This window comes from Homo sapiens, chromosome 9, assembly GCF_000001405.40.
Source record: "Homo sapiens chromosome 9, GRCh38.p14 Primary Assembly".
NCBI classification, from domain to species: Eukaryota; Metazoa; Chordata; class Mammalia; order Primates; family Hominidae; genus Homo; species Homo sapiens.
Genome location: NC_000009.12, coordinates 105,219,591 through 105,247,165, shown reverse-complemented (window position 1 = coordinate 105,247,165; position 27,575 = coordinate 105,219,591). Strand labels below are relative to the sequence as shown.

Below are 27,575 nucleotides of genomic sequence, written 5' to 3'. Positions count from 1 at the left end.
AATACCAGCCGATTAGTAACATTTCACAAATGAAGAAGGATGCCAAAAATCTCAAATAAGAAAAAAAAAAAAAAATCACCAGCTCTTTGGCACAAAACCTGCTCCTCAATGCTCCACTGAACACTACAAGTCCCTAAAGCTGAACTTAAAAGCATGTGACAGCTGTTGATTGGTTATAGGAATCCACAGGAAAAAAATGCACCCCTTGGGTGCATGACATGCATCTTATCTGTGGAACAAGGCATGTTCTACAGTGAGAGGAGGTAAAAGAAAAGAAAACGTATACGATAGCATTCTGAAAAGTATGACGTGGAGCTAGACAAATGCAAGACCCACTATCGGTTTTAAAGCAGAGTTCTGATGCAGCACCCATCCCTCCCAAATTTAACTGTTCATGCACTGAACAAGCTATCCATAAACTATCAATACTTTTCTGTCTTAAAGGCATTTCACCACCAAAAGGGAATGTAAATTAACTCAATTCTGAAAAGAAAGGCAATCTGAAAAACACCTTTTTGGTGAAAATTATACTTAAGTAAATATTAAAGAGCACCCAACTAGACCCCCACAAATTCCTAACCAGTTGAAAGTTATGTGCAATTCTACACCTTTATATGTTAATATGAAAACTCTGATATACCAAGCCTCTCCTTCCTAACACCTCTACGTATAGTTTTACTTTGCTATTATAACTGAATAGGAATCTTTAACTACACCAAAAAGCCTGACTATAATGCTAGCAGGAAAAAAAAAAGCTAACGGGTAAGCAAACACTCAAAAAAAAAAAAAAAAGACTGGAGGAATAGGATGATAGGATGGATACCTAATAAAACACAAATGTCCCCCATTCATCTGCAATTCTAGTCATTTTCTCTCTAACAGATCTCAGATTTTCAGAACAAGTATGCAGGTTATTTAAAACTGAGTTATATATAGTCATTTAGCAGCAGCAAAAACACTTCTGGCATTATCACAGATGCTAGCTTTCTGGAGGAATTTTTTCCCCCCAAACTAGCGTTTTTCTTCACCAAGAACCAACCATCCTTTATTTCTAAAAACAAGAGCCCTTTTCTGCCCCCTAAAACAAACAAATCACAGACCACAGTTAATGAAACTACGCTAATGAAACTGTGAGATTACATCCCAGGCGTTGTCAGAGCCTATTTTTCATACACCACCACAAGACAGTTTGATGCAGTATTCCTGATTGCTTTTTATAGTATTTGTAAATACACTCGCTAATCCACTAAATTAGGTAATTTACAAACAGGTCCTCTCAGTTATTAGTGGCCAGTAGTCGAGTTCTATTACATTTGATCCTCGTACAGTTGTCTAAACATTTCCACCCAGGTTAAGGGCTCGGATCCGAGAGAAGGAGGTTGGCGAAATTTGGATGGGGGCAGGGTAGAAGCTGAGAGAAATCTCTGCATCTCAGCCCTCAGCGACAACATTCAGCCAGTGCCCACAGAAAAACTAAATTCGGAACCTCTTCCTCCTGTTACACTGGCAACAAAGAGGGAGTTTCCGTAGCGCTCCCGTCACCCACCAGGTGCCCAATCTCCTTCCCAGCCCAGAGTCGGCGCTCCCGCAGGGGCCTCCGAGTGCGGGGAGGCCGCGGGGCCCGGGTCACGGCACTAAGGGGGGATGGGGTGCAAGCGAGCAAGCGAGGTCTGCGGAGCGGGCCGTGGAAGGGCTCCGGGACCCGCTGAAACCATCTGAACCCAGCCAGGGGGCAGCGGGCAAGAGAAAAGGGACAGAATATCTAATGAAGCAGAAACTGGAATTCGGTGGGAGAGGTGAAGAGCTCTTGCTGGGGGTACACCTGCGAGGAGCACAGAAAACGGGCGGCGGATGGCGGGGAGACTCCACGGAGGTGGAAGAGAGGAGCCAGGCCCGGAAGAACAGGGAAGGGGATGCCACCTGGGGCAGAGGAGGCGCCAGTGCAGCCTCTACCTGCAGGCGGGCGGGACGGGCAGCTCAGGTGTGACTGGGAGGAGGGGGCCGACTGGGGAAGGGGCCGGGAAGAGCTGAGGGCGCACTAGGCGCCGCGCAGAGGCGCCTTTGAGTCGGCAGCCGCGGAGCCAGCGCACGGGCATCGGCGGGACCCGGCGGACGGAAAGGCGGAGTGGGGGTCTTTGGACTGCACGGTGCGCTCAGGGGAGGCTGGGGACAGCGAGAGGTATCGGGCGGCGGGCGCCCGCCGCGCGACGCGGCGCACGGGAGGCATCCGGGCGGGCGGCCGGGAGGCGGGAGCCCCTCACCTGCGCGGCGGAGGAGGCGGAGCTGCAGCAGCCCATGGCGGGGCCGAAGGAGCCCGGAGGCGGCGCCGGGCGCGCAGCTACGCCCCGGAGCCCCTCGGCATGCGAGCCGGCGGGCGCCCGGGGAGGGCGCGGCCTGGCACCGCACGGCTAGGCGGCGGCGGCGGCTGCAGCGGCGGCTGGTACTCAAGAGGCGGCGCGGCTAGAGGCAGGCGCCGGCCACATCCCCCGGCGGCGGCGACGGCGGCTACGCGTCTCCTGCTCTGCTCCTGCTGCAGCAGCTGCTCCCCAGCGGAAAGGGGCGGGCGGCGGCGGCGGCGGCGCCTCCCTCTGTCCCCCCGCCTCCCGCCTCCCGCGCCCAGTCCCTCTCCCGCTCCCTCTCCCGGGCCGCCGCCTCCTCAGCGCCGCGCGCGTCTCCCATCAGACTCCCCGCCCCCAGTGCAGCGCCGTGCTGGTGGCAGGGCGGCGGCAGCCAGAACAAGGCCGGGCCCTTCCGCGCGTGTCAGAGGCTGCGCGGCGCCGGGCTTATTTAGCTGTGGCACCGAGGCAGCTCTCTGCCTCGAGGCTGGAGGGCAACGCGGTCTGAGGCAGCCAAAGACCGGGCCAACTCGCTGCCAAAAAGGGGCCGGATTGCTTCCGGATCTAGGAGGCAAGCGGGACTTCTCCCTCTCCCTACTGGACGCACAACTCAGGATCCTGATGGCTTCTTACCGCCCCGTCGGCTGTTTTTTTTCTCCAGAGGAAAGCGTACACAAGAAACCTTTCCTGGAGAAGGAATAGGTGATAAGAAGACGGGAAGAAACAAGCATCTGTTGCTACTGTCCCCATTTTGCTGATGTGGAAACTGAGGCTTGAAAGGGACCAAGAACCTAATGAAATGTTCCCAAGGTTGAAATGGTAATAAATAGCCAGAAATGAGGAAAAGGCAAAAAGTTATCCAGGCTCGCAAGTCAAAGCCATACTGGATCTAAGCTAAACTTTCTTATACAGGATAGTCTACAAAAAACAATAAGGGGACATTAATTTATTCATATTAAAAATACTTACTGAAGACACACTACGTTCCAGTGACTAGTACTGGGAATAAAGAGGCGAGCAAAAGAGACTTACCAAGTTCCTGTTGCTAAATCAGTAAGACTCAAGGAAGTAGCAACAAGTTAGAGTAGACGTGGTAACTACCTTCAAGAAATTTACAATTCCAAACGAGTCGTTAGGAAATACAGTATGAGGTGAAAACAGTTAAAAAGTGAAAGAAATAAAACTAAAGATAATGATGTTAAAAAAAACCCCACATTATCAGGCACTGTTATAGCCTTCATATGTCATTTCATCTTGTCAAAGAATGTCTCAAAAGACAGCCACAGGAAAGAAAAGAAAAACTTTATTTGCAAAGCTGCAAGGGAGTGAGACTTCCAAAAGGACTGATTCACCAAATATGAGACATCAAGTTTTAAAGATTAGTTAAAGTATAGAGGGAAGAAAAGAACACAGAATTAAATTGACTTTACATGCACTGAAAGGGAATCTAAGCCAAGGAAAGTTGGAATGGTAGCCTGTAAGGGGACAGCTACAGAAAGGGCCAGGGAAGAAGAATTCCTAATTGATGTTTTCCTATGCCATTTCCTGAGTTCGTGACTGTGGACGAGTTATCTCTCCAAATCTCATTGTCCGCTTCTGTGAAATGCTGGTAGCAGGGATGACTGCAAAGGCTTGTGGTCAAGATTAAATAACATAAGAAAGTGCTGCTAGGTCAGCAAGTACTCAACTGATTGAGATCTTGAATTCTTCTGCATTCTTTCTAGTTTCCTTTCAGGTTAATCAGAGGGTCCACCATACCACGGAGCTGGCGAATCCTACATGTGTTTCCCATAACCATTAAACCAATAAATACAAGTGAAGACATAAAACTAATGGTTCTAGTCCCAATTCTGGTTGTAAACTCCAGAATTAGATTGTAAACTCCCTGAGAACAAGGAAAAGTATTTTCTCCTTTGTATCTCCCTCAGCTCTCTCAAATGTTTGTTGAATTATTCAGTGCAGCCAAGAATAAAAAACATTCCCTTGAGATTTTCCCTCAAAGCCAGAAAAGTACATCTTGTTTTTAACTCGGGGAGGAGGCTGAAAGTAAAACTACAGTCCTAAACAAGAAGCCATCTGTCTTCCTTCTTTATAGTCAAGGAAAGGGGAGTTGTTTCTCTTTGCAGAGTCAATATGGGAGCATTTCTCTCAGATTAGAAAAATCTTTTTGGCTAGTGCTGCCGTTCCGTGTAGTAGCTAGTGCTTATTCTGTAATTGGAACTGTAGAAGGAGATAAATGCGTAACAGACTGTGGCAGTGCTTCATAAAATGTATTTTGCTTTTTTAGAGATCTCTTTCCTAGACATAGATAATGGGTGAATATAATTGAAAGCAACTACAGTCCGTTGTGCTTGACTGATCTGCACTCTGGTTTTCCCTTTAAGTGTTAATAGAACTAAGAGTTCTAAGATTCTGCAAGGTGCTTTGTAAATACACCAATTATGTATGTATGCACCATATATGCATATGAATCTGATGTTTCAAAATTATACTTCGTCATTAGCATGAGGGAAACTAACAGCTCTTGCATTGATATGCTGTACCTTCTAAGAATGAGTCTCTTTCCCATCCCCCTCATGCCCAAAAAAAGCCTCGTAAAAGGAGTGATTTAGAGAGGGGCAAATTACTATTCCTTTTCACTCTTATAAACAAGTACACACAGCATTCAATGAAATTAAACCACAGCAAACTCAGAAATCACAAAAGGGATTTTTTTTTTCTTAAGCCAGTGATCAGGGTACTTATCTACTATGGTGAGATGTTACCAGGGCAAGCCCCTTCGTAGGGGCTTAGGTTGTTTTTCTTTTTCTTTTGGGAGAAAGGAGGTTTTTAGAAACTTATGTAAAAACCATCTGCGCTAACCAGGATAAAATTATAAGGTCTATCAATCTTGGTGCTGCAGGGTAAAATCGGATCACCAGCTGAGCCAGCCAGAAATGCTTCCCAGTGGTCTGGTATTGCATAATTGGCTGTGTGAATTCCAAGGGTTCCAGCTTCAGGTGGAGGTCTTGGTGCTGGTCACTCACTGAGGGAAAACATTGAATTAATGGTCTTTCCAATGATTTTTATGAAGCCTGACTTCTTGTTCACATGATTTCAGGTTTTGGGGTAACAGAAATACAAATGCGTCTCTACATGTATATGTCTATAACTGCTCAGAATAGTCCTCTTAATTTAAAAACCGTGGCATTTGGTGCTGTGGCTGTGTTATTTACATTTTAGCACATACTGTGCTCACAGTCACATCCCACAAGAGCTTATTTGCTTCAGCAGAGCCCTAGCTTCCAGATTTGCCTCACAACCTCTTCCTCCTGAGCATTCACATATCACCCCAGGGAGATGCTCCAAAAGCCAAAACTAATTGTAACCAAGGGCTGTAACTGTTCATTCATTGCCAGAGAGGCAAGAGCAGTCTCTATTTGAGAAGGTAGAAATGTATCTCAGCCTCCCAGTTAAACCAGAAGTTAGAAATCCACTTTACCTGAAGAGAGCTTTCCCTAACTCAGGCATGCAACAGAAAAAGACAACATTGTATTCAGCAAGACTGGCAATTCTTAAGTCCTTAGCTCTGCAACTTTGTTTCTGGTCACACTTGTAAGTTGATGTTCCTCCAATATTTATTAATAACTCTGGCTTTTATTTGTGGTTTCACTTGGATTTTTGTTGCAAGATCAAACAATGTATGAATTCTCTTTAAAATGCTTGTTATAAACTTGTGTTTAGAGGGGTGTATCTTCCTCCTACTACTTTTCTGAATGACTTTTTTAAACATTGTAGTCATTCAATTCATTTAATAATTTTTATATTGACTGCTTTCTATGAGCTAAGCATGTTCGATTTTGATTAAGTAGCCTGTGCTCATGCATCAGTTCTCAGGGATTTGAGCTGTTTCCAACATAAAATTAGTGTTGGTTTTTCATTTTGGGATGCTGGGATGAGGAAGGAGAGGAAATGGAAGCAGGGTGATGAGTATTAATTTGAGAAGGAAAGAAGAAATTTGTAAAGTAGGGAAATCTATTTATTTAACAGTGCATGTCTTGAGCCATTATAATGAACCAAATACCTAGCTGGGTGCCTGGGATTCAAAGACGAAGTACACTCCTTGCCTTTAGATCATTCTTAAGGGGTGGAAAGATATTTAAACCAAGAACAGAGTATAGTTTAAATGTAATGAAAGGGAAAAGTCCACATACTATATAAGCGTAAAGGAGGTCCACAAAGATTGATTTTTTTTTTTTTATTTAAAAAATGCTGTTACATTTTTTTCCCTATTAACCCTTTCTTACTTCCACTAGACAAGTTCCCACTGTGTACCAAAAGCCTAGAAAACAGTTTGGTATCCAGGAATGTTTCATAAATATTTATTCAATGAATGAATGAATTTTGTCAATGAGTCCCTAGGAATTTAGATTTATAAATGCCTAGAATGTCTCAAAGGAAAGCTTATCTTAAATATTAGATTACTACTTTTTAAAATACTTGTTGTTGCTGTTGTTTTACTGTAAAACTTCTGGTATAAAATAGGTTTATTTTTCTGGCTGGGCACAGTGGCTCATACCTGTAATCCCAGCACTTTGGGAGGCTGAGGCAGGCAGATCTCTTGAGCTCATGAGTTCAAGACCAGCCTAGGCAACATGGCGAAATCCTGTCTCTACAAAATATACAAAAATTAGCCGAGCGTCGTGGTGTGCATCTGTAGTCCCAGCTACTCAGGAGGCTGAAGATGGGAAGATGGCTTGAGCCTGGGAGGCAGAGGTTGCAGTAAGCCAAGATGGCACCACTGCACTGCAGCCTAGGCAATAGAGCCAAATTTTGTCAAAAAATAATAATAATAATAATTTTTCTAATATTGGAATTATAAAAGGCTTTTCTTTGGATAACACTAACCTAATACCATAGTAAAAGACAGATAGGATTAACTACATAAACATTTTAAAACTCCTACATGCAAAAGATACTACAAAATGAATACAAATGACAAAGAGATAAATAATACTTGCAAAGTCTATGTAAAGGTTTACATAATACACAAGAAGCTCCTATTTAAAACCAAAAGAAAAAAGAAAAAAAAACCCACTCCACAGAAATATGAGTAAAGGACATAACAGACAAAATCCACAGTGAAAGAAATACAAGAACTAATAAAACGTGAAATGTTGCTCAGCCTTACTAATAATAAAACTGTAAGCTTAAAAATTAGGAGACATCATTCCTCACCTAGCAAATTGGCAAAGATTTAAAAGCTTAATAATAACCAGTGTGAGAGAAGGTCACAGTACTCTATACATGATTAATGGTGATATAAATAGTTACCCTCTTTCTGGGGAGAAGTTTAAGAATTTGTATCAAAATGTAAAAGGTGTATTCTTTTAACCCAGCAGTTCTTACCCTGAGAATATCCAACAGCAATACAGTTTTGTTTTTAATAAGGACAAATTGAGAGAAAACTAAATTTCCATAAACAGAAGATTGGTTAAGTAATTGCTTAAATAATAGGAAGCACTATGCAACTGTTAAAAAGTAAGAGCAATCTGTATTTAATGACATGGGCTATGCATAACTAAAATATACCATCAACTAAAAACAGTAGTTTACAAAACAGGATTATGATGGAATCCTGTTCATGTCAATCGTTGTGTGTGTGTGATGTAAACTGTGTGTGCACAAGCACGTGTGTGCATGTTTGTGTAGATGAGGTTGTGAGGAATATGTACCAATCTGTTAACAGCAGTAACCTTTGGAGAAGAGGTGGGGATAAATCGTGGTGAAATAGAACCAGACAGAAGAGAGACATGTTCTGAATTATAACTTTTGAATTTTTTGTAGTTTTGACAAAAGCATGTACTTAAAAAAACTATATTTAAATATTTTAATATTATAAAACATTTTATTTTATTAAGGACAGGGAGGGGGTTCTCCTGAATGACCTGTTAATCATGAAGAACATATACAGTGTCCAGAGTACAGGGAAAGAACAGGTCACAAATGCAATGATTAGGAAAGGCTTCATAAATTGTGTTTCAGCTGGTCCTTAACACGTAGCTTTGGATAAGTGAAGATGATGGGAGAAAAAGAGAACTCTCAGGTATAAAATGACTTAAGCAAAGGTGCAGGCTTAGAAATCAATAAGATCTATTGCATGTTCCAGTTATCTGTTGTTGTATCCCAAACCAAACTAAAACTTGATGACTTAAAACAACAGCAGTCATCAACTCTCACCATTGGGGGAACAGAGTAGGCTCAGCTAAGCGGTTCTCGCTTGAGGGTTGTCAGGTGATTGCAGTTAGCTATGAGGCAGGAGTTATCTTGAAGTTTACTCATGCCCGGAGGTTGATACTAACTGTTTGCCATCAGCCAGAATACCTACTTGGAGCCTTGCCACATGACCTGGGTTTCCTCACAGCTTGGTAGCTGAGTTCTAAGGGTGAGCATCTTTTTTTTTTAATTATTTTTATTTTTATTTATTTTATTATTATTATTTTTTTGAGACAGTCTCACTGTCACCCAAGCTGGAGTGCAAAGGCACAATCTGGGCTCACTGCAACCTCCACCTCCTGGGTTCAAGCAATTCTCCTGCCTCAGCCTCCTGAGTAGCTGGAATTACAGGCACCTGCCACCACACTTTTTGTATTTTTAGTAGAGTCAGGGTTTCACCATGTTGGCCAGGCTGGTCTCAAACTCCTGATCTCAGCTAATCCACTTGCCTCGGCCTCCCAAAGTGCTGGGATTACAGGCGTGAGCCACCACGCTCGGCCAGGGTGAGCATCTTTAGAGGACCAGACTAACACTGCATTACCTTTTACTTATTTATTTATTTAATGTTATTATTATTATTATTTTGAGACAGAGTTTTGCTCTTGTTGCCCAAGCTGGAGTGCAGTGGCGTGATGTTGGATCACTGCAACCTCCACCCCCTGGGTTCATGTGATTCTTATGCCTCAGCCTCCCAAGTAGCTGGGATTACACGCATGTGCCATCACGCCTAGCTAATTTTTTGTATTTTTTAGTAGAGATGGGTTTTCACCATATTGGCCAGGCTGGTCTTGAACTCCTGACCTCAGGCGATTTGCCCACCTCAGCCTCCCAAAGTGCTGGGATTACAGGTGTGAGCCACCGTGGCCAGCCTGCATTACCTTTTATAACCTGGCCTCAGGTAGCACATAGCATCACTTTTGCTATAGGCACGGGCCCATTCAGATTCAAGGGAAGGGACCATCGGTGCTCTCCAAACCCTACCCTTGAGGAATTATCAATGTCACACTGTAAGAAGAACATGTAGGTTGGGAGATCTTGGCTTGAGCTCTTCTGTTTGTCACAGTTTCAAACACTCTCTAAAGTCTCTTCTGACAGGGGCCAGTTTTTCCTATCTACATTACCCTCTGGCATTCATAGGCCTTGGAATTTGTACCTCCTAACAGATAAGAGAAATTCAGAGGGTTTTGAGTAAAGTAGTAATACGGTAGGCTTTTTGCTTTAAAATGATCACTATGGTGGTATCTTACAGGGAGGACTAAAGGGAGGAAAGCTTAAACAATAAAAACAGTAGGTGTTAGAGCTATGCCCCTACTCATCAACTCTCCAATTCAGAAAAATGGTGCCTAAGTATGATTGACAGGAGTCTTCCATATTCCTTACCAAAGCCTTCAGTCTTCGGAATGCTTTCAGTGGGCCTCAATTCTTATAGAACCAGATGCTCTGTGCCTGGCAGGAAATTACTAGGCCTTGGGAAGTAATTGAACTTTTTGAGAATACCAAGGTACCACTTCGGGGATACTAACTGATATTTCTCCCACTGAGCAAAGGACATAGACTCCTTGGAAATTAAGCCTGACTTGACCACCAACTTACTCACTTCCCAAGTGCTCCAATAGTTTGTCTCCTAGTGTGGTGCTACAGAACAACATGGAGGAATGGGGAGGCAGAGCGGGCTACAGGGTCTGCACACATTGCTGGACTAGCAATTTGAAGTTTAGCTACAATCATTCCCAGCTTCCCTCAAGTCCTGTTAAGAGATTTGTGTAAGGCAATGAAAAGTGTACTATTGGCTTGGTTTTTGAAGTTTCTTTCCCTATTATTATTTTATTGGACAAACTGTCAAAATCCACCTGTTCTTTCTCAGAGATGTCCTTTCTTCCTTTTTCATTGGTGCTAGACAGAGTCGTTTTCCCTAATACTATGTAATTTAGGAGAGGCTGTGTCAATTGCATAAAATATTTCTAATCTCCATAATTAAGATGCTGCTGGTCTGACAGTTTTGCTCTCTTACTCCCCCTCAGCTAGTTGCAGGGATGTAGAAAGACATTTTAAAAGAGTACTAAAGCAAAAATGACATGCTGTTCCCCTCCCAAAGGGCCTGCTCATGACTGTCACTAGCTTCCCTATGCTCCTTCCTGGAGAGTTTCATTTATGGCTTCCTCAAAAGTAGGAAAGAGAAACTATGCTAAGGTTCTCCAGACCGTCTTCTCTCCATCCCCCAAAAATGTATACCCTGTCTTCAGTTTAAATTCAGGAGAAATCCAGATTGTCCCTTCTTTTTCTTGCTCTGTCTCCCAGGCTGGAGTGCAATGGCACGATTTTGGCTCACTGCAACATCCGCCTCCCAGGTTCAAGCAATTCTCCTGTCTCAGCCTCCCAAGTAGCTGGGATTACAGGTGTGCACCACCATGCTCGGCTAACTTTTTTTGTGTGTGTATTTTTAGTAGAGACAGGGTTTCACCATGTTGGCCAAGTTAGTCTCAAACTCCTGACCTCAAGTGATCTACCTGCCTCAGTCTCCCAAATTGCTGGGATTACAGGCATGAGCCACCATGCCTGGCCCTGGTTGTCCCTTCTTATAGACCACTCTTGAGGTCAATTCCCAGCACAGCATTTGACAGAGAATAATCACTGATAAATCTGGGTTGAACACCTGAATAACCAAATTCTGAGGTAAAGAGAAATGTAGAGTTGAGAAGTAGCAGGACATTGCAGTTGCTGGCACAGAATCTTTGAAGATCATGTAGTCCAGTTTCCTATAATTTTGGGAAAAAAAAAACAGATAACAAGTCACCAAGATTGCCATATATTCAACTTTTTTCTTACCTCTTGGTAGACTGATAATGTATTCAGGTATAACATATAAAAGTCCTGCTTCATCCTTACAGTAAGTCTATTAAGTAAAAATTATTATTACTATTTTAGAGATTAGTCAAATGAGATATAAAAATAGTCTTGATAGACTGTATTATGCTGCTATAACAAACTAATTCTCAAACCTAGGTGGTTTAATAGGAGAAAGTTTATTTCTCCCTCATAGTATGTATGACACAGCAGTTGGTCCAGAGGGAGAGATGGCAATAATACTGTCTGCTTTACATAGTCATTCAGGTGTCCAGGCTTATGAAGTCTCTAAGATATTGTATTTTATTTTTTTGAGATGGAGTCTCACTCTGTCGCCCAGGCTGGAGTGCAGTGGCACGATCCTGGCTCACTGCAACCTCCACCTCCCAGGGTTCAAGCGATTCTCCTGCCTCAGCCTCCTGAGTAGCTGGTATTACAGGTGCATGCCACCATGCCCTGCAAATTTTTGTATTTTTAGTAGAGACAGGGGTTCGCCATGTTGTCCAGGCTGGTCTTGAACTCCTGGCCTCAGATGATCCACCTGCCTTGGCCTCCCAAAGTGCTGGGATAACAGGCATGAGCCACCGCGCCCAGCCTTCTAAGGTATTTTAGCTGCACCCTGTGTAACTTGAAGTCTTCTAACCCTCTCTCTGCAAGAAGAGAGTGTTGGATAATTACCCATGGAATTTTTACTGCCTCAGCCTAGAAATGACACATACCACTTTTGGTTGCATTTTACTGGTTAGTAGTAGTCACATGTCCTCACATTGTCAAAGGGGGATGAAATGTAGAAGAAGTGGATTATTTGGTAAGCATTGCCATTGTCACTGCTCCAAGAGATAATTTGTACACTGTCCAATAGCTATTAAGTAGCAAGGTTAGCGTCCAAACTCAAGCTGTCTGATGCCATAGTCCATGTGATTTCTTTTCATAACTTGATAATGCCATGTTGGACATGGAAGTGGCCATAGTGTGGAGAGGCAACTGTAGCATGATGGGAAAAGCCCTAGACTTGAGACAATTGAGCTAACATATCCATTTTACCATCTACTAGTTATGAGACCTTGGGCAAGTCCCTCAGCCTCTGCTAAAAGCAATTTTTCGCCAGGCACAGTGGCTCATGCCTGCAGTAGTAGCACTTTGGGAGTTCGAGGTGGGAGGATCGCTTGAGCCCAGTTCAAGACCAGCCTGGGCAACATAGTGGGATCTCATCTGTACAAAAAATTTAAAAATTAGCCAGCATGATGGTGCATGCCAGAAGTCTCAGCTACTCTGGAGGCTGAAGTGGGAGGATTGCTTGAGTCCAGGAGGTTGAGGCTGCAGTGAGCTATGATCATGCCATTGCACTCCAGCCTGGGTGACAGAGTGAGACACTGTCTCAAAAAAAAAAAAAAAAAGCACTTTTTCTATCTATAAAATAGGAACAAACAGAACTCTCATGAGACTGTTGTGAAGGTAAAAGTATGAGAGCCTTCAGGACATGTAACACACCCTCAATGAATGTTGAGGTCTGAATTCTTATTTATTCTTCTAGCCCCTCTTTCTGCCAACACAAGTACCTTCCTGGAAATGTAAGGCCTTCCATAGTGAGACTTTCTGCTGAAAGTTCTAGTTGAAATTTTGCCAGAGAAAAGATTTAGTAACCTGATCCCAACACTTCCCAGCATTTAAATTCTGATTCTATTACCAGACCTTTTCCTGATATCAGCAATTTTCTTCATGTGTTGCCAACCACAACTCATTCATGACTTCAGGGGAAAGGAAAGGATAATGTCACATTGGAATTAAAAGTTGTGGCTTGAGAGCAGTCTTGCATTTAAAAACACTGTAAATGTTGGCACCTCTCTAGGAAGTAAATGTCAAGGCACATGTAATACAGAGTGAGCACCAGTGCCTTCAGGTATTAACCTATTGAGAAAGCCCATTTGGCTCATTATTACATCCTTGTCTCAACTCCAAAAATAGATCCTCTTTATTATTTTAACATTATTTAGAAAAAAATTAAATTTCTATTATGTGACATGAGAAAATGCCTTTGTTAGAAGGCTAATGGGCCTTTTTTTTTTTTTTTTTTTTTTTTTTTTTTTTTTTTTTTTTGTCCTGAGAAAGGAAAGTAAATTGCTTCCTATGGAAAGGTGCATAAACTCCTTCACGCCCCTGGGTAATTGCTTAGGAGAGTATTGGTACAGATAATTGACAATCTAAAAACCGAGGTTCTTGGCAAAAGTAATGAACTTCCTTGAAGCAAGTCTCCTTTTTCAAAATGAACCTGAAGCTCAAAAACCTTTATTCCTCACTTTGCCTTTGTTGTTAGCAACTCAAACATCTTGACGCACTGGTTACAATCTTGGGCTTAGGAGTGAGACAACTGTGGGACTGATAACCAGTCCAGCAAATTCTAGCTATGGGACCCTGCCCAAGCTACAGAAGTTCTCAGAACTCCTCATCTATGACATTGCATCATGATTATTAAATGAGGGAGAGCACTTTGCAAGGTTACAATGGTGTGTCTGGCATGCTTGACACGAGAATGACAAAACTATTAACAGTAATCATCATTTTCTTATTCTTTAGTTAGAAGCAATGAACAATTTAAAATAATACATTTCAATTTTTAAAAATGAAAATGTATGTTTTGTATGAACTGAAATGTATACTGTCTAAAGGTATTACACCTTGCAGTTTATACTGTTTCACTTTTTAAATTTTTAAACCCAAATTAAATGTACAAATTGTCATATAGCATGATTAAATTGAATTAATCCAGTTTTACTTCTTCGTCTTGAGAAACACCGTGCTATCATTATTTATGTCTACTGTTTAAGTGTAGAGATATATTGTACTACAGGGATTTGGGACATGAACAATGACCTCAATGAGTTTGAACAGTTCCTAACCATTATGAACTTACTCTTGAAGCAAGCCCATGCAGCCATGTCCACGTGTGTCTGGGTGGATGCATAACTAGTGGTTGTCTGGATTTGTTTCCATGTAGAATATAATGCTTGGTAAGACATAAGTAATGTTTGCTAATTTGAAGCATATATATACACACATATAAATATAAGTATTAGATATATATAATATATATCTATAAGTATGTATATATACACACACACCACATTATTAAAATTCAATAGTTTTGAAGGTAGATCAACCAAATTTTTTTTTAAGGAAGAGTATTTTTATTACTGACATTGCTTTTTGTTTTGTTTTGTTTTCTCATTTGGGGTCTTGTTCTGTTGCTCAGGCTGGACTGCAATGTTGGGATTACAGGTATGAGTCACTGTGCCTGGCCAACATTGTTTAAAATTATGGGCACATGGTGATAATAAAAAGCAGACAAATGAGGTTTTATTGCTTTTTCACATTGTCTGCAGACAATTCACCCCCTATTGTTGCACCAGACTAGGCTCTTCCACTGCTCTGCCCTTGGAATACCAGTGCATAGTTCCTGGCAGATAGTAAGAATTGCATACCTGTAAACTACTATTATTTCACTACAGGTCTTTTAAAACTTGAGAGGTTCCTAGAATTTTACTTTTTTCTTTCTTTTCTTTTCTTTTTTTTTTTTGCAGAGAGAGAAACAATGACATGGAAATATTACTTAATTCCCCAATAAAGAAGTAGTATTATCAGGCCAGGTGCGGTGGCTCACGCCTGTAATCCCAGCACTTTGGGAGGCCAAGGTGGGTGGATCACCTGATGTCAGGAGTTCGAGACCAGCCTGGCCAACATGGTGAAACCCCGTCTCCACTACACATACAAAAATTAGCCGGGTGTGGTGGCACATGCCTGTAGTCCCAGCTACTTGGGAGGCTGATGCAGGAGAATTGCTTGAACCTACAGTGAGCTGAGATTGCACCACGGCACTCCAGCCTGGGCGACAGAGTGAGACTCCATCTTGAAAAAAAAAAGAAAAAAGTAGTATTATCTTTAAAAAATTTTTTTTCTGTGATAATAGTTTTGGTGCCTTTTAATTTAGAAAATATACAAAAGTGTTTTTAAAAGTAAACAAAAGAGGCTGGGCAAGGTAGCTCAAGCCTGTAATCCCAGCACTTTGGAAGGCCGAGGTGGCAGATCACTCCTTGAGGCCAGGAGTTCCTAACCAGGCTAGCCAACATGGTGAAACCCTGTCTCTACTAAAAAATAAAAAAAATTAGCTGGGCATGGTGGCACATGCCTGTAATCCCAGCTACTAAGGAGGCTAAAGCACGAGAATTGCCTGAACTCAGGCAGCGGAGGTTGCAGTGAGCCGAGATAGTGCCCCCGCACTCCAACCTGGGCAACAGAGTGAGACTCTGTCTCCAAAAAATTAAAAAAATGTAAAAAGAGGTATACCAAAGACAATAAAACCCCCTATAGTCATGCTATCCAAAAGACAAAAATAACTATCATTTATTGATTACTCTATCTCAGGAGTCCTACATTCATTCCATTTATTTTAATCCTTCCTGGGAACCTATGAAGTAGTTTCAGGTTTTACATTTTTCTTTTCTTTTTTTTGAGACAGAGTTTCGCTCTTGTTGCCCAGGCTGGAGTGCAATGGCGCGATCTCGGCTTACTGCAACCTCTGCCTCCCGGGTTCAAGCGATTGTCCTGCCTCAGCCTCCTGAGTAGCTGGGATTACAGGCATGCGCCACCTCGCCCGGCTAATTTTGTATTTTTAGTGGAGACGGGGTTTCTCCATGTTGGTTAGGCTGGTCTCCAAATCTCAGCCTCAGGTGATCCACCCTCCTTGGCCTCCCAAAGTGCTGGGATTACAGGCATGAGCCACCGTGCCCAGCCACATTTTTCATATTTTTTTTTAGAGGAGGTTACTGAGTCCTATAGAAGTTACAGAAGTAGCTCAAGGTTGTAAACCTGAGCTTGTAAGTGGCAGGCCAGGATTCAGACACAGCTCTGTTTGACTGGAAGCCTAATCTCTTAACAACTCTGCTGTTTTACAACAACTCTGTGTTCCCCGCTGACCATTATTAATATTTTGGTGTTTGGCCTTTCAGTTTATTTTATGTGTATACGTATGTGTGTTTTCTAAATGTATATGTAGTTTTTTGAACAAAATTCGGATCGTGTTGTGTATAATGTTTTGTATCCTACTTTTTAACCTAATGTTACAGTGTAAGCATTTTCCGCATCTTATATAGGATTCAAAAGTATGATTTTCAATGGCTACATAATAGTCCATCATATGCTTTACCATAGCTGAACAAACAAATCCTCTTGTGTGGGACTCCACTTTGAATAAAGTTCTTAGAAATGTAGTTTGTTACAACCATTCTGAAAGTCAGTTTGGTAATATATCGTGAACTGTACAAAGCTCTTACCTTTATATCCTCGCTTCTAGGAGCTTATTCAAAGGAAATAAACAAAATTATGGTCAAAGATTTATGAATGAGGGTGTTTATCACGGTGATAGTAAAAACATATTTATGTGCATAGAAGAAAGATGAGAAGAAAATGATACATTAGCAATGTATCATTAGTTACTGGTATAACTTTTATTTACTGAGTTATTGATTATTTTTATTTTATTGCACTTTATTTTTTTATTTTTATTTTTTATTTATTTATTTTTTGAGATGGAGTTTCGCTCTTGTTGCCCAGGCTGGAGTACAATGGCGCGATCTCAGCTCACTGCAACCTCTGCCTCCTGGATTCAAGCGATTCTCCTGCCTTAGCCTCCCAAGTAGCTGGGATTATAGGCATGCACCACCACACCTGGCTAATTTTTTTTGTATTTTTAATAGAGACGGGGTTTCACCATGTTGGCCAGGCTGGTCTCGAACTCCTGACCTCAGGTGATCCACTCACCTCGACCTCCCAAAGTGCTGGGATTACAGGAGTGAGTCACTGCACCTGGTCTTATTGCACTTTAAATTGTATTTCTTATATATCTTTTAAAATGTTTATTATTTATTATATTTTTCAGTATTTTCTAAAATTCCTGTAATAAGCATGTATAACTTCTAAAAATTAAAAAGAAGTTATTTTTAAAATGTTGGTAATTTTTGGTGAATCTTCAACTCACCAATCGCTGAATCCTGATCTTACATACAAAGTTACAAAGTCTGATTAAAATGTTCTGTACAGCTCACGCTTTCCAACAATATCTGGTCTAGGCTGGAATTAAATGTCATTTTGTCTTCTCCCACGGTTCCTTTAATCCTCAACTGTTAGTGGCTTTTACTCCACCAACTCTTTGATTGCTCCCAACCTTACCAGGGTGAAGGCATTCATTTACTTCTACAACTGCTTGTTTTAAGGATAACCAATTTATTTCTCTCATTAGGAAATTAAAGAAATATTGACAAGCCCAACTTTTTCAGATCAGATGAAATTTTTTTTCTAACTTCAAAAAAAATTCCTTCTGTGTACTAGCTCTCTGAGAAATTTTGGACATGGTTAGCCGTTTCCATCACAAGCATAAGCTTCCTGTATGTCTGGGCAATGATATGTTAGCTGTTATCCTCAGCCAAGTCTGTTCACTTAGGACCCAGTTTTCTCATCTATAAAATGAAGACTTAAAGTCATTGAGCTGTAGGGTCTCTGCCTACTCTTAATCCTTAGGTAAAAACCCACCAGTAAGAGACTGAATGTTAGTTCTTTCTGGTCCCAATTCTGAAGGAGAATGTAAATGTAACATTAAATATAACTGAAGACAGAATAAGAAAACTAAAAATAGGTTAGAAGAAATTACTGTAAAAGAAAAATATACTGAGAGATATGTTTATTAAGGTAAGTATATCAATTCTCTGAATGATACCCAAGCAATGAGTTTAGTATAGAGGTTTAGTGTACTATTAAGGGAAGATGCTGAATTTAGAAATAAATAGGCCCTGAAAGGAGGCTTGACTCTGTCATTTATTAGCTGCATGGCCTTGAGCAAGTTATGTAAACCCATGGCTGCTTTTTAGAGTTTCTCTTTGTCTTGATATTCTGAAGTTTCTGTACAGTGTCCAGATGTGGATTTATTTTTGCTTATCCTGCTTGGGAATGGTTGGGATTTTTGAATCTGTGTGGGTAGTACCTTTTATTAGTCTTAGAAAATTCCTAGCAATTCAAAATTCAAATATTGCCTATAAAAGCAAAACAATATGACATCTGGGAATGGCTTTAACATATTTTAACAAAGAAGGAAATAAAAATAAAGAAAGAAAATAAACAAATGTGGCAAAATCTTGATAACTGTGAAGTCTGGGTAATAGGCATATACAGTTTATAGTACTATTATCTACTTTTTTCTTTCATGTATGCTTAAATAATTTTATAATAAAAAATAAAGAGCTATAAGAAAATTAACAACCATTCTGTCTCCTTCTCCTTGTGGAGCTTCAGTGGAGTGTACATCAGACCTTGTTCTACACTTCATGTCTCTGAATGCTCATAGTTTCCTTATTTTTATCTCTTGTGATATTGTGAATAATTTTTTCTAACCTACATTTAGTTTACTTATTCTGTCTTCAGTTATATTTAATGTTATTCAGTATTTAATTTTGGTTATTATAATTTGTATTTATAGACATTCATTTTGGTTCTTTTTCAAATTTGTTAGGTTACTTTATCCCTTATACTTTTTCTCCAGTCAGAAGTGAGCTTTCTCCAAGTATTAAAACACACACACACACAAACACACACACACACACACACACACACACACACAGACAACCTCCTTCCCCAGCTCTTAAAAAAATAGGCATAGTTGTTGTAAGTATGTTGTTCTATAGCCTAAGTCTCATAATTCCAACATCAGAAATATGTGAAAATCTGGTATATTTTCTATTTGTTCTGTGGTTTCTAAAAGTTCTTGTTCATGGTATCTTGCTTGTGTGCTTGATTATTTTTGACTGTGTGCTGCTTATTTATCTGAAAAATGATATGTGGGTTTTTTTTCTGGTCTAGGATAAAGGTGTTTTCCTCTAGAGTGGATACGTATTTGATTATTTGGTGTTCAAAGGCATTAACAATTCAGAACAATTTTTAAATAAATTCAGAAGCTGACAATTTTTTTTGACTAATCAAATTCAGTGATGTGTCTGTAGGCTGCAAATTTGAGTGATGATTAACTTGTCGAAGCTTTTCAGTCCTTTTCCCTCTCTCTTAGGCTTAGCAACAAGGTATTTTTCTTGTAGCCCTTGGAGTAGGGGAGAGGTATAAACCTTTGGTACCCTATCTTCATTGGAGTGAAGGGGTCCCTCCTTCGAGATTCTATTTGGGATGGAGATTGGCTTTGATTTCCTTCTCCCTTGCCATGGGAGGCTATCAGCACTCTGGGAAAAAAAGCAGCCTCAGTGTTTTCTCTTACCTTCCTGGAAAAAGATGAATGGTAAACGCTTCTAAGTTCCAATTTCTTCATATGTAAGATGAAGTTAATATTGCTTTACTTACAGAGTTGTGTGTTAAGCAAGATACAAAATGCCCTTTTTAAATTGTAAATTACAATATAAACTTACTCTGGAACCCAGGGCCCTTAAGGTTTGGGAAACCTCTTCAAGTTGCATGGATACATGAGGGTATATATATTTTTCTATGTGTGTTTCAGAGGGTGCTCATGTATCTAATGAGTTTCAAATAATCCATTGACCACCAAAAATTTTTAAAGCGTTTGAAAATGGAAATTATTATTTGAAATCAAATAAGTACAGGAAAGAGGCAGAAGATTGGATTTGTGTTTATTCATTTAGATGTTGCTGAAGTGGGCCAGGCATGGTGGTTCACACCTGTAATCCCAGCACTTTGGAAGGCCTCCTGATCACGAGGTCAGGAGTTTGAGACTGGCCTGGCCAACATGGTGAAACCCTGTCTCTACTAAAAATACAAAAAATTAGCCAGGTGTGGTGGTGCGTGCCTGTAATCCCAGCTACTTGGGAGGCTGAGGCAGGAGAATCACTTGAACCCAGGAGGCAGGGGTTGCGGTGAGCAGAGATCACGCCATTGCACTCCAGCCTGGGCAACAGAGTAAGACTCCGTCCCAAAAAAAAAAAAAAAAGATGTTGCTGAAATGTTTTAATCTTTGCCAATTACTGAAATAGTGATTATTTGCTCAATAAAACTATGTTTTATCTGTTCTCTTCTAGACTATAATTTCATGTGTGTGAAATTCAAGGGGAAAAAGGAAACAATACATAATCCAGGTAGGAAGAGCATTTTGTTCCTTTCGTTATTTATTCCTTGCAGACTTTCATTCATGGATGCATAGACTCTTAGAACGTTAGAGCTGCTGAATCCGTACAGATCAGCTAATTTAACCTTCTTAGTTTACATTTAAGGACACCAAGGAAAGGAAACAGATAAATTTACTAGAATTATAAATGTGACAAATATTCCAGAGATTTTCTGCTAATTAAGATGTTGCTTTTGTCTAACAAAACATAGCAGAGTTTGAGATTTCCCCCCTTTTCTTCTATAGCATCACCAGTGTCACACTTCAGGACCTGATGAAATGTTTTATCTTCTGAAAAGCTTTCCTGGCTCAGATGAGGTGACTCATGTCAGCCTACACAAAGGCTTCTTCATATACTAGAATTTCTACTATAATTTTTCAGCCTTTCCACAAAACAAGTCTTACCATAATCCAGCAACAGAGCAAAAGAGAAGTCAATGATGAGAAGCTTGATAATGTAAAGGTTTAGTTCTAAGGTGGGTAGCAGTCACTCTTTCACTCAACAAGTATTTATTAAGTGCCCACCATGTGCTGGGTGCTAGAATTACAATGATAAACAAAAGATGTGGTCGTTATTTTGCCATTTTCACACCACCTCTTTAGTCACTACTTTTCTTTCTCTTTCGGACAACTCAATGTATCCTCTAACTGGTGTTTCTGCTTATACTTTGATCTCCCTTTGATCCATTCTTCACCCAATAGTCAGAAGGATCTTTTGATCATTAAATCCCCTCCTTAAGCCTCTCAGAAGTTCCACTTGTGGAACAGCAGTGTAAGGAGCTCTATGTACCCACTCCCCAGAGTCAGCCATAACTATTGAGCGTTATATATTTTTTAAAAACCCAATCATTTATAAATCCCTGGAAATTGTCCTAAGAGCATATAGCAAATGAAGAAACATTTATTAAAGAAAATCTATTAGATCTTGGCAGAAACAAAAGGAATCTTTGGCACAACCCACCCCCTCCCTCCTCCCTTCCCATCTCAACCTGATGACAGAAGTTGCAATCTGGTCAAATATCACCAAGAAAATGGGGCTCCTCTCCCCTCTGCTCCTAGTCAAGGGATATAGTAGCACTCTAGGAAGGGCAGGCCACTAGCATTTTTCATCACCCACCTCTGAATTGCAGAAGCTAAATTCCTGGTGAGTGTGGCTGAGGGATGAGGGGCTCCCTTCCTCCACCCAACTCCCACTCATAGATGGAGGCTCTGTCCTAGGCATGGGAGGTCAAGAGTACTGGGGTCACAGTAGTCCTTGTTCCAGCTTACTTTTAGGGTGGAGGTTTCATGCCAGGAGAGGCAAGACAAGATCTGAAGCTACCATTCCCATCTTCTACCTTGTTTGTAAAGCAGGGGTGTCAGTTCAAGAGAAGCAGGCTACTGTCCCTGTCCTCACTTTCAGGGCAGTGGCTCAGATATTCTGCCCTGGAGAAGAGGAAGTCCCTAAGAACAGAGAGCTCTAACACTCTCCCCAAAGAAACTGACTTTATTTAAAGTAGAATATGGGAAAGCTCAAGTCTAAAAATTCTCTCAAATACAATGGAGATTTTGGTGGTAAACAGTTAAGAGAAGGCTGGTAACTCCATGGGAGCAGGAAGCTGAGCCATAGACCAGTTAGCTTACTAGAGAGAACCAGGGAAAGAGACAACTAAGAGGAATCCTCTTGGAGTCACAACAAACCTCAAAAACTGGGCTTAGAAACTACCTCTATTTTTCTGGGGTTTAAATCTAATTGGATCAGACTGCGGAGCAATTTATGTCCCAGGGCATTGTCCAAAAAAAAAAAAAAAGCAATCACCTGACAATTAGGCAGTGTCTAACAAAAGCAGGTAGCTTAACAGAGGGATCAAGGAAAGAGAGATAAAGAGAGTCCTGCGGAAACTACTGTCACCCCACAGTTACTGTTCATGTCCAAGTCTGTGTATGTCCTCTGAGGAGCAACATCAGAGGCTTCACACTGTGAGGGAAATAGACTTTATTAAAATTATCTAAGCAAGTCACTAAATAAATAAGCAAAAAGGAACAAAAATAAGCCCTGGAGTTGAGGGGGTACTCAATATCTAGAATTGCTACAATCTATTACCTGAAATGTCTATACAAAGACATACAAAGAAACAGGAAAGCATGACCCATACATAGGCAGTAAATCAGGCAATAGAATTGCCTTGAGAAGGATGGCCCAGATGTCAGATGTGATGGACAAAGTGTTCAAAGCAGGCATTATAAGTATGTTCAAAGAACTAAAGAAAACCATGCTTAATGAAGTAAAGAAAGGTATAATGTCAACATGTCATTGAATAGAGAAGATCAGTAAACAGATATAAATTATAAAAAATTAACCAAATGAAAATTTGGAATTCTAAATTTGGAAAGTGTAATAACTAAAATTAGAATTTCACTAGACACATTCAACAGTAGATTGGAACTAGCAGAAGAATCAGCAAACTTGAAGATGGACTGATAGAGATTATGTGACTAAAGAACAAACAGAAAAAAGAAAGAAGAAAAATAAACAGAGGCTCAGAGAAATCTACAATCCAAGAAGTTTGAAGAGCTCCAAGTAGAACAAATGCAAAGAAATCCACACCCAGACACGTGACAGTAAAAATGTTGAAAGAGAAATTTTCAAAGGGAAAAATTTGAAAGCAGCAAGAGAAAAATGAGCCAGGCGTAGGCAGAGGCAGGAGGATAGCTTGAGCCCAGGAGTTTGAGACCAGCCTGGGCAATATAACAAGACCCCACTCTACACAAAAATCATGGGGGAAAGACTCCCAAAAAAGGAGAAAAATGACTTATCACATTCAAGGGAACCTCAATAAGATAACAGATGATTTTTCATCAGAAACAATGGAGGCCAGAAAGCAATGGGATAAAATATTCAAGGTGCTGAAAGAACAAAAACTACCAATCAAGTATCTTATAATGTCACAGGGTGAACCCCAAAATTGAACCTCAACCTGGGAGGTCACATGGGTTCTTGACTTCATGCAGAAAAGAATTCAAGAGCAAGCTGACAGTAAAGTGAAAGCAAGTCTATGAAGAAGGGAAAAGAATAAAAGGGTGGCTACTTCATAGGCAGAGCAGCCCCAAGGGTTGCTAGTTGGCTATTTTTATGGTTATTTCTTGATCATATGCTAAACAAGGGGTGAATTATTATTGAGTTTTCCAGGAAAGGTGCAGGGAATTCTTGGAACTGAGGGTTCCTCCCCTTTTTAGACCATATAGGGTAACTCCTGTGAGTTGTCATGGCATCTGTAAACCATCATGGTGCTTATGAGAGTCTCTTTAGTCTCTTTTAGCATGCTAATTTATTATAATTAGTGTATAATAAGCAGTGAGGATAACTAGAGGTTGCTTTTATCACCATCTTGATACTGGCTGGTTTGGGCTGGTTTCCTTACCACATCCTATTTTATCAATGGGGTCTTTGTGACCCGCATCTGGAGAAACAAGTCTTGCTAAACTATCTCAAAACAAAAACAAAAACAAAAACAAAAAAACCTCAAAACCTTCAGTATCTTTTAATTACTTTGGATGAAGTCAAATTTGCTTATCATGATCTACATAGTCTGCCCACCTCTCTACCTTCTTGAACCACACTTCTCTATCGAGCTTGATCACACAGGCATTCTTTTAGCCTGTTCCCTCCTGCCTTGAGGCCTTTTGACCATGTTGCCCCAAGTGTCTGTCTCACTATTCTCTCACCTCTTTAACTAAATATTACTCACCCTTAGATTTCAGCTTAAACTTTGCTTCTTCTGGGAAGCCTTCCCTTATCTCCCTGCCCATGTGAGATAGTACATACTGCCATGCATCTCTCGTCACCTCCTTCTTGAAATTTTACATGAATTGGTACATTTAATTAATGCTTTTATAATATAAATTTCACATAGATAGGAAATGTGTGTGTGTGTGTGTGTGTGTGTGTGTGTTGTGCTTTAGGTTGCAAAAACTAAAAGTCACTGAAAGGTTTTATCTGATGAATGGCATTGTCAGACTAGCAGGTTTAGGATGTTTTTCTAGCTGTGCTTTTAGAAAATACTGGACACATTCCTATTGTGGATATAAGGAAGATGTTGTAGTATTCCAGAGTAAAGGTGATCAAATGCTCAGACCAGGTCAGGGTTTGGAGATGAAAAGTAGACCAACTTGAGAACTACAATCAGAGAGGAAAGGACAGTTATCACTGGGTGGAATCCTAGGTTTCTGACTTGTACAATTCAATACAGTGGTTCTATTTACGAGGAAAGGGAGAACTAGAGAGAAATCAGACTATTGGGGGTGTGGATAGAGGTAAATCATGATTCAGTTAGGAACTGTTGAACTTGAGGTGTCAGTGAGAAATCAGTGAGAACTCCAATAGAGATTTTAGGTAAGCAATTGGATACAGGATTCTGGAACTCAGAGAACTTGAGACTGCAGATATGCAAAGCCAATCTGGGGAAAATATGGTTGCCTGTGAGGACCTACTTCTCCTTCACTACCACCAATACTGGCAGCCTCTCAGCTGCAGTTCTGCTTTGTCCCAAGCCTATCAAAGGCCAGAAATGTTGTTCTCCCTGCCCTTCCAGCTGATATATTCCTGCTTATTCTGTAAGGCCCTCCTTTCTCTGAACCCCAGCCTGCAGTAGGGTTGTGCCTGGGCTCCTGGAGATTTTTTTGTACTGTGCTGGTCCCAAGAAGAACAACTTCTGAGTTAATAAAAAGCTCCTGGCCGGGCATGGTGGCTCATGCTTGTAATCCCAGCACTGTGGGAGGCCAAGGCGGGCAGATCACGAAGTCAGGAGTTCAAGACCAGCCTGGCTAGCATAGTGAAAGCCCATCTTTACTAAAAATACAAAACTTAGCTGGGCGTGGTGGCACATGCCTTTAGTCCCAGCTACTTGGGAGGCTGAGGCAGGAGAATCACTTGAACCTGGGAGGTGGAGGTTGCAGTGAGTGGAGATCGCGCCACTGCGCTACAGCCTGGGTGACAGAGGGAGATCTTGTCTTGAAAAAATAAATAAATAAAATAAAATAAAAAGCTCCTTTTGGTGTATCTTACTTTAATTTGATCTTCTCAGCCTGAATCCAGGAAGGGATATGCGTGTTGAATTCTGAGGGCGAAGGCGTGTTTTTCTGCTTGCTGGATAGTTCTCTAAGGTCAGGCAGCAGGCCTTAGTCATGCTAATGGAGATCTAACCTTTCATGGAATCAGAGATTTTTTCCAGCTCAAGGGCATTTCAATAATTTTCCAGATGAGGCCTTTGTCTCCAAAACACAGTGATAATTACCAGCAAAGTCGTAACTTGAACTCAGGTCTTCTGACTTGAAGCCCAGTGCTTTTTTTTTTTTTTTTTTTTTTTTAACCCACAATACTCCCATGTAGTATAGCATCTGGCTTCTGGATGGACTTTTGCAGCACCAACCACCATTTCTAAGACACAGTAGTGTCATAAATGTTGTTGAATGAACAAATAAAAGCTATTCTACTGCCCAATCCTTTCTTTTTCCCTAGAATAGCAGAGAGTAAAGAAAGCAAACCAGCAGAATGTATCTGGGGTTTCCAAGCATCATTATCAGCATGAATGCATGTCCTTTGGGAACTCTGCCACTGAAGTCATTCAATCAAGTAGAAATTGAATCAATGTCCATTCTTAGCATAATAATTAAAGGATACCAATATCTCAGAACCAGCTGGTGGAAAATAAGCTCTGGTCTGTTTTATAAGCAATATCATATATAAAGGTGGAAGGCCTTCAGTGTTTTTCCCTGAACAGCTTTCTATGGTACAGAGCATAGACATCCAGGCAAAAGGAAGACAAGCTGGTTCACCGTCATCTCTGATTTCTCTCCAATCTCCACACTACCTCCAACATGATAGCTTTAAATGCAACTTGAGAAGTGTTTCATCCAAGATTATGTAGCTAGTAAGCAGTGAAGCCAAGACTACAGCCTGTGAATTTGGATTTAAATACTTTGCCACCCATTTATCACACTTTTGATCAGATTTGGATCCACTGCAATTGGCCCCTTTTTCTGACGGTAGCCATGTATTTTAGAGCTGCATTGTGCAATACAGTAGCTGCTGGCCTCCTGTGGCTATTTAAATTTAACTATGGTGGTGCGTGGCTGTAGTTCCAGCTACTCAGGAGGCTGAGGCAGGAGAATCGCTTGAACCCAGGAGGCGGAGGTTGCAGTAAGCCGAGATCGCGCCACTGCATTCCAGCCTGGACAACAGAGCGAGACCCTGTCTTAAAAAAAAAAAATTAAGTTAACTAAAATCAATGGCTGGGCACTGTGGCTCATGCCTGTAATCCCAGCACTTTGGGAGGCCGAGGCAGGTGGATCACCTGAGGTCAGGAGTTCGAGACTAGCCTGGCCAACATGGTGAAACCCTGTCTCTACTAAAAATATAAAAATTAGCCGGGTGTGGTGGCATGCACCTGTAATCCTAGCTACTTGGGAGGCTGAGGCAGGAGAATCGCTGGAACCCAGGAGGGAGAGGTTACAGTGAGCTGAGATAGTGCCATTGTACTCCAGCCTGGGTGACAGAGCAAGACCCCATCTCAAAAATAAATAAATAAAATTAAAAATTTAGTTCCTCAGCCATACTGGTCCCATTTCAAGCACACACTAGCCACAAGTGGCTAGTGATTGTATGTTGGACAGTGCAGACATGGAGCATTTCCATCATCACAAAAAGTTCCACTGGACAGCACTGCTCTAGAGACAGATTTCCCTTTTTTTGTCTAAGGTTACTAGGGTCAGAAAGTCTGATGGAATATTTCCTCTCTCCAAACGGCAAATGAGGCCAATAGACAGATGGGAGACTGTGAGCTACTTATTCTATTCCATACTTTCTAAACTCTCAAATGGAATTGATAGGGCCTAGCTACTCATCTCTGGGATGGGTAAATCTGCAACATGCTACTTAGAAAAGGATGATTAATCTGTTGTCATATCAAGTCCCTTGAACATACAATATAAATAAATAT

At 41.0% G+C, this 27,575-nt stretch overlaps 1 protein-coding gene and 1 long non-coding RNA gene across 6 annotated transcripts in view, besides 5 other annotated features; one reads left to right on the top strand and one right to left on the bottom strand.

Annotated features, from left to right (window-relative positions):
* Window positions 1-2,515, bottom strand: part of SLC44A1 (solute carrier family 44 member 1) — a 193,854-nt gene extending 191,339 nt beyond the window's left edge. For all 4 annotated transcript variants that reach the window (NM_001330731.2, NM_080546.5, NM_001286730.2 and 1 more), the window contains exon 1: window positions 2,262-2,515. In NM_001330731.2, the coding sequence (NP_001317660.1) occupies window positions 2,262-2,297 (36 nt within the window). In that variant the 5' untranslated portion in view covers window positions 2,298-2,515. The remainder of the gene's footprint in view (window positions 1-2,261) is intronic.
* Window positions 1,065-1,968: an enhancer, noted in NCBI's record as "NANOG-H3K27ac-H3K4me1 hESC enhancer chr9:108007479-108008382 (GRCh37/hg19 assembly coordinates)". NCBI's record gives its function as "activates a minimal SCP1, AML or CMV promoter by ChIP-STARR-seq in primed H9 embryonic stem cells {active_cell/tissue: H9 hESC(primed)}" and the evidence as "EXISTENCE:reporter gene assay evidence [ECO:0000049][PMID:30033119]".
* Window positions 1,573-1,652: a silencer, noted in NCBI's record as "silent region_20152". NCBI's record gives its function as "represses an Ori minimal core promoter by ATAC-STARR-seq in GM12878 lymphoblastoid cells {active_cell/tissue: GM12878}" and the evidence as "EXISTENCE:reporter gene assay evidence [ECO:0000049][PMID:35858748]".
* The window catches only part of LOC112268038 (uncharacterized), a 50,346-nt gene continuing 24,343 nt past the window's right edge, over window positions 1,573-27,575 (top strand). Inside the window, exons 1-3 of one of the 2 annotated variants that reach the window (XR_002956867.2) lie at window positions 1,573-2,147; window positions 20,513-20,569; window positions 20,845-23,261. This is a non-coding gene — a long non-coding RNA (uncharacterized LOC112268038). Of the gene's footprint in view, window positions 2,148-20,512; window positions 20,570-20,844; window positions 23,262-27,575 lie in introns of those variants that run through there. The other variant, XR_002956866.2, reaches the window with a different exon arrangement.
* Window positions 1,969-2,873: an enhancer, noted in NCBI's record as "NANOG-H3K27ac-H3K4me1 hESC enhancer chr9:108006574-108007478 (GRCh37/hg19 assembly coordinates)". NCBI's record gives its function as "activates a minimal SCP1, AML or CMV promoter by ChIP-STARR-seq in primed H9 embryonic stem cells {active_cell/tissue: H9 hESC(primed)}" and the evidence as "EXISTENCE:reporter gene assay evidence [ECO:0000049][PMID:30033119]".
* Window positions 1,993-2,132: a silencer, noted in NCBI's record as "silent region_20151". NCBI's record gives its function as "represses an Ori minimal core promoter by ATAC-STARR-seq in GM12878 lymphoblastoid cells {active_cell/tissue: GM12878}" and the evidence as "EXISTENCE:reporter gene assay evidence [ECO:0000049][PMID:35858748]".
* Window positions 2,143-2,742: a silencer, noted in NCBI's record as "silent region_20150". NCBI's record gives its function as "represses an Ori minimal core promoter by ATAC-STARR-seq in GM12878 lymphoblastoid cells {active_cell/tissue: GM12878}" and the evidence as "EXISTENCE:reporter gene assay evidence [ECO:0000049][PMID:35858748]".